The sequence below is a fragment of the Homo sapiens genome, chromosome 20, assembly GCF_000001405.40.
Source record: "Homo sapiens chromosome 20, GRCh38.p14 Primary Assembly".
NCBI lineage: Eukaryota > Metazoa > Chordata > Mammalia > Primates > Hominidae > Homo > Homo sapiens.
The window spans coordinates 2,259,739-2,269,687 of NC_000020.11; the positions used below are offsets into that span (position 1 = coordinate 2,259,739).

At 43.8% G+C, this 9,949-nt stretch overlaps 1 annotated feature.

Moving 5' to 3' along the window:
• Window positions 5,000-5,555: an enhancer, noted in NCBI's record as "NANOG-H3K27ac-H3K4me1 hESC enhancer chr20:2245384-2245939 (GRCh37/hg19 assembly coordinates)". NCBI's record gives its function as "activates a minimal SCP1, AML or CMV promoter by ChIP-STARR-seq in naive and primed H9 embryonic stem cells {active_cell/tissue: H9 hESC(naive and primed)}" and the evidence as "EXISTENCE:reporter gene assay evidence [ECO:0000049][PMID:30033119]".

The following is a 9,949-nucleotide window of genomic DNA, read 5'->3' on the forward strand; positions in this document are numbered from 1 at the left end:
AGTTTCCCAATCCTTGAGTGAAGAGGTTGGGTCAGATGACCTCTAACGGCCATTTCAGCATCTGTTTCTAAGATCTACGTGTCTGGGGAGCAGGAAACGTGCTTAAATACGTTACAGGCTAGAGGCATTCTGAAGGCCATTTGGTTTGATTTCTCAGTGATATGTTAGCCTCCTCTAAAGTGGGCCCAGCTGTGGCCTATGTAACTTGGGTCAGGCACGGGCCCCATAACACACTGATCAAATCAGAATTCTTGGATCAGGGCTGCAGAGAAGTCTCTTGGAATGTGCACCAGTGATCCCAGTGTGTAGTGAGGTTTGAGAACCACTGTCTTGGAGGATGCTGGGAGATCGCCAAGGTGTGTGTTACCCACAGGAAGCCAGTGAGAGTGACTGGGGGCCTCTGTGGAGGAGAAATCAGCCCAGGGAAGAGCCAGATATTCCAGAGCAGGGAGGGAAGCACACAGTCAGCTGAGAACTAATCCTGACTCAGTCTCTACAATGTGTTCCTGGTGCCACAGGAAAACAGTAGGTGGGGAAAGAAGCAAGAGGTCTTGCCTTTTCCGTCTGCGAGCCCGTCTCCTTCAGTCCCTTCAAAGCACCTCCCATCTCTTGGCTCCTCACCAGGTGAGCAGTGCTGTGCTCACCTGGCCCAGGGGGTGAAGTGCCTTGCTGCAAGTTGTGGGAGAGAAGACAGCAGAAAATAACTCTGGGTTCTTCTGAGCAAGGCGAGAGTACATCTGGTCAGGAGATAAGGGAGGGGCCGGGAGCGATGCCTCACACCTGTAATCCCAGCACTCTGAGAGGCCGAGGCGGGAGGACCTTTTGACCCACAAGTTCAAGACTGGCTTGGGCAACACAGCAAGACCCCATCTCCACAAAAATAATAAAAAAATTATCCAGACACGGTGGTGAGCACCTATAGTCCCAGCTACTCAGGAAGCTGAGGTAGGGGATTGCTTGAGCCCAGGAATTGGAGGTTGTGGTGAACTATGATCAGGGCATTGCATTGCAGCCCGGCAGCAGAGCGAGACCCTTGTCTCTAAAAACAAACAAACAAACAAACAAACAAACAAGAGATGGGGGAAGACTCTGTGAAAGCCATACTTCGTGAGATAGAGCCCTCTCCTCTTTTTATTTATTTATCTTTTTTTTTTGAGACAGGGTCTCACTCTGTCACCCAGGCCGGCATGCAGTGATGCAATCTCAGCTCACTGCAACCTCCATATCTCAGGCTCAAGCAATCCTCCTGCCTCAGCCCCCTGGGTAGCTGGGAGTACAGGCACATGCTGCCTTGACCAGCTAAATTGTTTTGTATTTTTAGTAGAGCTTTGTCATGTTGCCAGGGCTAGTCTCGAACTCCTGGGCTGAAACAATCTGTCTGCCTCAGCCTCCCAAAGTACTAGGATTACAAGCATTAGCCACCACGCCCGGCCTTACAGCCTTCTGCTCCTAACAATACCTTCAAGGCCATCAGTATCTGTCAACAAGCACTTACTGCATGCCCACCCTGTGCCAGAAACCACACCCCGCCACAGGATGCCAACAGGAAAGACGCAGACTTTGCCCTTTAGCCTCCAGACCAGAGGAGGCGGCAGATGAGCAAACATGCCATCACAGTGTCGTGTGAGAGGCTCTGGGAGCCCAGACGGTCCTGAAAACTGAGGCTGGGCACTCCAGGAAGGCTTCCTGGGGGAGGTAGCACTGAGTTATGAAGGACAGGTTTGAATTACCCAGGAAGAAAGGGGTGTGTGGATGTGAAAGGAGGGAGGTGGCGATGTCATTACACTGTTTTATATGGTCCAACACCCTTATCCATCCATTATTTCATCTGGTGTTACTATGATGCTGGCTAGAAAGTTCATAGATTATTTTCATTCAATGGACTGAGTGTCAAGGGGCTAGGATGGAAAACTTCCTCATCATTACAGCAAGAGAATCAGAGGCCCTCATTTGACAAGCACAGTGGTTATTGAAGGAATCTTCTCTATGGCTGATATCTCTATCTGTGATCTCTCTCAGTCTCCCAGAAACTTGGGAAATAGAAGGAACTTTCTCCATTTTATAAAAGAGGAAGCCAAGGTTTAGAGAGATGGACTTCATCGACACCCATGCACTTGATGGCTAGCAAGGACTCAGCATTTTAGAATACTTTCCGGATTAAAGTGAAAAGTGGATTAATAAATAGTGCTCCCAAAGTAGGGCTTTCTTTAGTCACATCTGCCTGCTATATACAGACTTAAGGGAGGGGTTGTTATTATTACGTACCTCGTTCACTCCCTACTTAATCCCAGCTTCACTATCACAACCCAGGAATATTAAAGACAATTAGATGGTTTTAGTTTGGCAATGGATAATTATAATCATGTCATTTTAGCAAGCTTCTCCTGTGACCACTTGACCCTATTTTTTTGTTTTTTGAGACAGGGTCTTGCTCTGTTGTCCAGGCTGCAGTGCAGTGGCACTCTCACAGCTCACTGCAGCCTCGACCTCTTAGGCTTAAGAGATCCTTCCACCTCAGCCTTCCAAGGAGCCGGGACTACAGATGCATGCCACCATACTTGGCTAATTTTTGTATTTTTTTGGAGAGACGAGGTTTTGCCATGTTTCCCAGGCTGGTCTTGAACTCCTGAGCTCAAGCTCTCTGCCTCTCTCAGCCTCCCAAAGTGCTGGGATTAGAGGGGTGAGCCACTGTGCTCAGCCTGACCACTGAACTCTAACTTGGAAGACATCACAGTGTATCCAATCACGTCCAGGCTTAAGCATAAGGCCAGCCTGACTTTTTCAGTGGGATTTTGAGCAGCGACTTAGAGAGGTGGGAAGTGAGCTTTGCCGGAGCCCCCTAGGCTTTCCAGGCAGTGCTGGTGGATTCTAGCAGATACAGTAGCTCCCAGGTAGACGAGCACATGTGCTCAAGGTAATTTATTTTCAGTAATCAGAGTAGACTGTGGAGACTTGTGAAGGATCTGTCCTAATTCAGAATATTGGTCTGTGAATTGGCTTTTAGAAAAATCAACTACTTTTAGAAGTTTCCTTGTAACTAAAATAGAGGTTGCTCTAGTATGAGGAGAAAAATCCTGGCTGCAAATTTGAGATGAAAGGGAAAATCACCATCCGAGTTCTGGAGTTGCCAGGATTTCCTAAGGACCTATGTTATTTCCTTTCTCTTTGAAGGCCTTGCATTGCTTTGTTTGTTTGTTTGTTTGTTTGTTTTGAGACAGGTTCTCACTCTGTCACCCAGGCCAGAGTGCAGAGGTGCAATCCAGGCTCACAGCAGCCTTGACTTCCCAGGCTCAAGTGATCTTCTCGCTTCAGCCTCCAAAGTAGCTGGGTGCGCAACACCACGCCCAGTTAATTTTGTATTTTTTGTAGAGACACGGTTTCACCACGTTACCCTGGCTGGTTTCAAACTCCTGAGCTCAAGCGATGGGCCTGCCTTGGCCTCCCAAAGTGCTGGGATTACAGGTGTGAGCCACCGCTCCCCATCAGGCCTTGTCTTTGGTTTCTAAACCTACCTTGTACATTTGGTTTTTAACAAATGACAACAAAGTTCCCTGAACCATAATCAAATGCACATGAACGCATTGGCCTGTGCGCATTCTTCCCACCCAGATCCTGTGCTCAGCTGATCTTTGGAGGGCCCACGCCCTCTCAGGGACTGGGGAGGCCCTGGGAAGGTCAAGGCCAGGCCCTTGCCCTGGAGCAGCATAGCCTAGTGGCAAACTCCTGCACAGCACCAGCAGGCTGTGAAGTAAAGAGAGCAGCCAAAGGCGCAACAGGAGAGGGAGTCCAGGAAACCTTAGAGGGTACCATCTTTGAGCCTGGAGTTCAACAGCCAGAGGAGGTAGCGATGGTCTGATAGTCCATGATTCTGCAGTGCTCTGTACAGAGAGCCACAAACGTCTTTCCTGTCCTTAGACAAAATAACTATTGTTCAACTAGCCCGTGATCTTTAACTACAGTGCAATAAAATTAGAAATGGCAAAATAGTTAAAAATAAGCCATGGCAGTCAGGCACAATGGCTCACAACTGTAATCCCAGCACTTTGGGAGGCTGAGGCAGGAGAATTTACTTGAATCCAGGATGCGGAGGTTGCAGTGAGCTGAAGTTGCGCCACTGGACTCCAGCCTGGGTGATAGAGTGAGACTTTGTCTCAACAACAATGACAACAAAAAACATAGAAAAGTATCTTCAAGATATTCAATTTGCAAGGCCGGGCACAGTGGCACATGCCTGTAATCTCAGCTTTGTGGGAGGCCAAGGTGGGTGGATCACCTGAGGTCAGGAGTTTGAGACCAGCCTCACCAACATATTGAAACCCCATCTCTACTAAAAATACAAAAAAAATAGCTGGGCATCATGGTGGGGACCTGTAATCCCAGTTACTCGGGAGGCTGAGGCAGGTGAATTGCTTGAACCTGGGAGGCAGAGGTAGCAAAAGGAATGCAGAATAGTATTAATTATTTTTAAATTAAGTATTATTATTTTTAATTATTAAAAATTATTATAAACTATTATCATAGTGTAATATTATATTTATGTTATATAAATTATATAGACATATATAAACATAACATTACTTATATAATAATATAAAATATTATTAGTAATTGTTATTTATTAATTATTTTAAAAATTAAGTATTTTTTAGACACATTTTAGACACAAAGATTTGTGATTAATAATTAATTTAAAAAATAATTAGGGGGCATTCCAAGATGGCCAAATAGGAACAGCTCCGGTCTGCAGCTCCCAACGTGATCAACACTGAAGATGGGTGATTTCTGCATTTCCAACTGAGGTACCTGGTTCAACTCACTGGGACTGGTTAGACAGTGGGTGTAGCCCACGGAGGGTGAGCTGAAGCAGGGCAGGGCGTCACTTCACCTGGGAAGCACAAGGGGTTGGGGGATTTCCCTTTCCTAGCCAAGGGAAGCCGTGACAGACTACCTGGAAAAACAGGACACTCCCCACCCAAATCCTGCGCTTTTCCCAAGGTCTTAGCAACTGGCAGACAAGGTGATTCTCTATTGTGCCTGGCTTAGTGGGCCCCATGCCCACGGAGCCTTGCTTACTGCTAGCGCAGCAGTCTGAGATCGATCTGCGAGGCGGCAGCCTGGCTGGGGGAGGGGCGTCTGCCATTGCTGAGGCTTGAGTAGGTAAACAGAGCGGCCAGGAAGCTTGAACTGGGTGGAGCCCACCACAGCTCAACAAGGCCTACTGCCTCTGTACTCCACCTCTGTGGGCAGGGCATAGCTGAACAAAAGGCAGCAGACAACTTCTGCAGACTTAAACGTCCTATCTGACAGCTCTGAAGAGAGCAGTGGTTTTCCCAGCATGGCATTTGAGCTCTGAGAATGGACAGACTACCTCCTCAAGTGGGTCCCTGACCCCCGTGTAGCCTAACTGGGAGACACCTCCCAGTAGCAGCCGACAGACACCTCATATAAGTGGCTGCCCCTCTGGGATGAAGCTTCCAGAGGAAGGATCAGGCAGCAATATTTGCTGTTCTGCAATATTTGCTGTTCTGCAATATTTGCTGTTCTGCAGCCTCTGCTGGTGATACCAGGGGAACAGGCTCTGGAGTGGAACTCCAGCAAACTCCAACAGACCTGCAGCTGAGGGACCTGACTGTTAGAAGGAAAACTAACAAACAGAAAGGAATAGCATCAACATCAACAAAAAGGTCATCTACAACAAAACCCCATTTGTAGGTCACCAACATCAAAGACCAAAGGTAGATAAAACCACAAAGATGGGGAGAAACCAGAGCAGAAAAGCTGAAAATTCTAAAAACCAGAGTGCCTCTTCTCCTCCAAAGGATCACAGCTCCTCGCCAGCAATGGAACAAAGCTGGATGAAGAATGACTTTGACGAGTTGACAGAAGTAGGCTTCAGAAGGTCGGTAATAACAAACTTCTCCGAGCTAAAGGAGGATGTTCGAACCCATTGCAAGGAAGCTAAAAACCTTGAAAAAAGATTAGATGAATGACTAACTAGAATAAATAGTGTAGAGAAGACCTTAAATGACCTGATGGAGCTGAAAACCGTGGTATGACAACTACATGCACAAGCTTCAATAGCTGATTCGATCAAGTGGAAGAAAGTGTATCAGTGATTAAAGATCAAATTAATGAAATAAAGCGAGAAGACAAGGTTAGAGAAAAAAGAGTAAAAAGAAACGAACAAAGCCTCCAAGAAATATGAGACTATGTGAAAAGACCAAATCTACATCTGATTGGTGTACCTGACAGTGATGGGGAGAATAGAACCAAGTTAGAAAACACTCTTCAGGATATTATCCAGAACTTCCCCAACCTAGCAAGGCAGGCCAACATTCAAATTCAGGAAATGCAGAGAACACCACAAAGATACTCCTTGAGAAGAGCAACTCCAAGACACATAATCGTCAGATTCACCAAGGTTGAAATGAAGGAAAAAGTGTTAAGGGCAGCCAGAGAGAAAGGTCGAACTACCCACAAAGGGAAGCCCATCAGTCTAACAGCTGATCTCTCGGCAGAAACCCTACAAGCTAGAAGGGAGTGGGGGCCAATATTCAACATTCTTTAAGAAAATAATTTTCAACCCCAAATTTCATATCCAGCCAAACTAAGCTTCATAAGTAAAGGAGAAATAAAATCCTTTACAGACAAGCAAATGCTGAGTGATTTTGTTGCCACCAGGCCTACCTGACAAGAGCTCCTGAAGGAAGCACGAAACATGGAAAGAAACAACCGGTACCAGCCACTGCAAAAACATGCCAAATTATAAAGACCATCAATGCTATGAAGAAACTACATCAATTAACAGGCAAAATAACCAGCGAACATCATAATGACAGGATCAAATTCACACATAGCAATACTAACCTTAAATGTAAATGGGCTAAATGCCCCAATTAAAAGACACAGACTGGCAAATTGGATAAAGAGTCAAGACCTATCAATGTGCTGTATTCAGGAGACCCATCTCACATGCAAAGACGCATATAGGCTCATAATAAAGGGATGGAGGAAGATCTACCAAGCAAATGGAATGCAAAAAAAAAAAAAAAAAAAAGCAAGAGTTGCAATCCTGGTCTCTGATAAAACAGACTTTAAACCAACAAAGATCAAAAGAGACAAAGAAGGCCATTACATAATGTTAAAGGGATCAATTCAACAAGAAGAGCTAACTGTCCTAAATATATGGGCACCCAATACAGGAGCACCCAGATTCATAAAGCAAGTCCTTAGAGACATAGAAAGAGACTTAGACTCCCACACAATAATAATGGGAGATTTTAACACCCTACTGTCAATATCAGACAGATCAATGAGACAGAAGGTTAACAAGGATATCCAGGCCCTGAACTTAGCTCTGCAACAAGCAGACATAATAGACATCTACAGAATTCGCCACCCCCAAGCAACAGAATATGCATTCTTCTCAGCACCACATCGCACTTATTCTAAAATTGACCACATAATTGGAAGTAAAGCACTCCTCAGCAAATGTAAAAGAACAGAAATGACAACAAACTGTCTCTCAGACCACGGTGCAATCAAATTAGAACTCAGGATCAAGAAACTCACTCAAAACCGAACAACTACATGGAAACTGAACAACTTGCTCTTGAATGACTATTGGGTAAATAACGAAATGAAGGCAGAAATAAAGGTGTTCTTTGAAACCAATGAGAACAAACACACAATGTACCAGCATCTCTGGGACACATGTAAAGCAGGGTGTAGAGGGAAATTTATAGCACTAAATGCCCACAAGAGAAAGCAGGAAAGATCTAAAATTGACAACCTAACATCACAATTAAAAGAACTAGAGAAGCAAGAGCAAACAAATTCAAAAGTTAGCAGAAGGCAAGAAATAACTAAAATCAGAGCAGAACTGAAAGAGATAGAGACATAAAAAACCCTTCAAAACATCAATGAATCCAGGAGCTGGTTTTTTGAAAAGATCAACAAAGTTGATAGACTGCTAGCAAGACTAATAAAATGAAAAGAGAGAAGAATCAAATAGACACAATAAAAACTGATAAAGGGGATATCACCACCGATCCCACAGAAATACAAACTACCATCAGAGAATAATATAAGCACCTCTATGCAAATAAACTAGAAAATCTAGAAGAAATTCCTGGACACATACACTCTCCCAAGACTAAACCAGGAAGAAGTTGAATCCCTGAATAGACCAATAACAGGCTCTGAAACTGAAGCAATAATTAATAGCCTACCAACCAAAAAAAGTCCAGGACCAGATGGATTCACAGCCGAATTCTACCAGAGGTACAAAGAGGAGCTGGTTCCATTCCTTCTGAAACTATTCCAATCAATAGAAAAAGAGGGAATTCTCTCTAACTCATTTTATGAGGCCAATATCATCCTGATACCAAAGCCTGGAAGAGACACACAAAAAAAGAGGATTATAGACCAATATCCCTGACGAAAATCCATGCAAAAATCCTCAATAAAATACTGGCAAACCAAATCCAGCAGCACATCAAAAAGCTTATCCACCACGATCAAGTTGGCTTCAGCCCTGGGATGCAAGGCTGGTTCAACATATGCAAATCAATAAAAGTAATCCATCACAAAAACAGAACCAATGGCAAAAACCACGATTATCTCAATAGATTCAGGAAAGGCCTTTGACAAAATTCAACAGTGCTTCATGCTAAAAACTCTCAATAAACTAGGTATTGATGGAACATATCTCAAAATAATAACAGCTATTTATGACAAACCCCCAGCCAATATCATACTGAATGGGCAAAAACTGGAAGCATTCCCTTTGAAAACCAGTACAAGACAAGGATGCCCTCTCTCACCACTCCTATTCAACATAGTGTTGGAAGTTCTAGCCAGGGCAATCAGGCAAGAGAAAGAAATAAAAGGTATTCAATTACGAAATGAGGAAGTCAAGTTGTCCCTGTTTGCAGATGACATGATTGTATATCTAGAAAACCCCATCGTCTCAGCCCAAAATCTCCTTAAGCTGATAAACAACTTCAGCAAAGTCTCAGGATACAAAATCAATGCGCAAAAATCACAAGCATTCCTATACACCATTAACAGACAAACAGAGAGCCAAATCATGAGTGAACTCCCATTCACAATTGCTGCAAAGAGAATAAAATACCCAGGAATTCAACTAACAAGGGATGTGAAGGACCTCTTCAAGGAGAACTACAAACCACTGCTCAATGAAATAAAAGAATTTACACAAACAAATGGAAGAACATTCCGTGCTCATGGATAGGAAGAATCAATATCGTGAAAATGGCCATACTGCCCAAAGTAATTTATAGATTAAATGCCATCCCCATCAAGCTACCAGTGACTTTCTTCACAGGACTGATAAAAACTACTTTAAAGTTCATATGGAACCAAAAAAGAGCCCACATTGCCAAGACAATCCTAAGCAAAAAGAACAAATCTGGAGGCATCATGCTACCTGACTTCAAACTATACTAAAAGGCTGCACTAACCAAAACAGCATGGTACTGGTACCAAAACAGATATATAGACCAATGGAACAGAACAGAGGCCTCAGAAATAATGCCACACATCTACAACCACCTAATCTTTGACAAACCTGACAAAAACAAGAAATGGGGAAAGGATTCCCTGTTTAATAAATGATGCTGGGAAAACTGGCTAGCCATATGTAGAAAGCTGAAACTGGATCCCTTTCTTACACCTTGAAAAATTAATTCAAGATGGATTAAAGACTTAAATTTTAGACGTAAAACCACAAAAACCCTAGAAGAAAACCTAGGCAATACCATTCAAGACATAGGCATGGGCAAGGACTTCATGACTAAAAACACCAAAACCAATGGCAACAAAAGCCAAAATAGACAAATGGGATCCAATCAAACTAAAGAGCTTCTGCATGGCAAAAGAAACTACCATCAGAGTGAACAGGCAACCTACAAAATGGGAGAACATT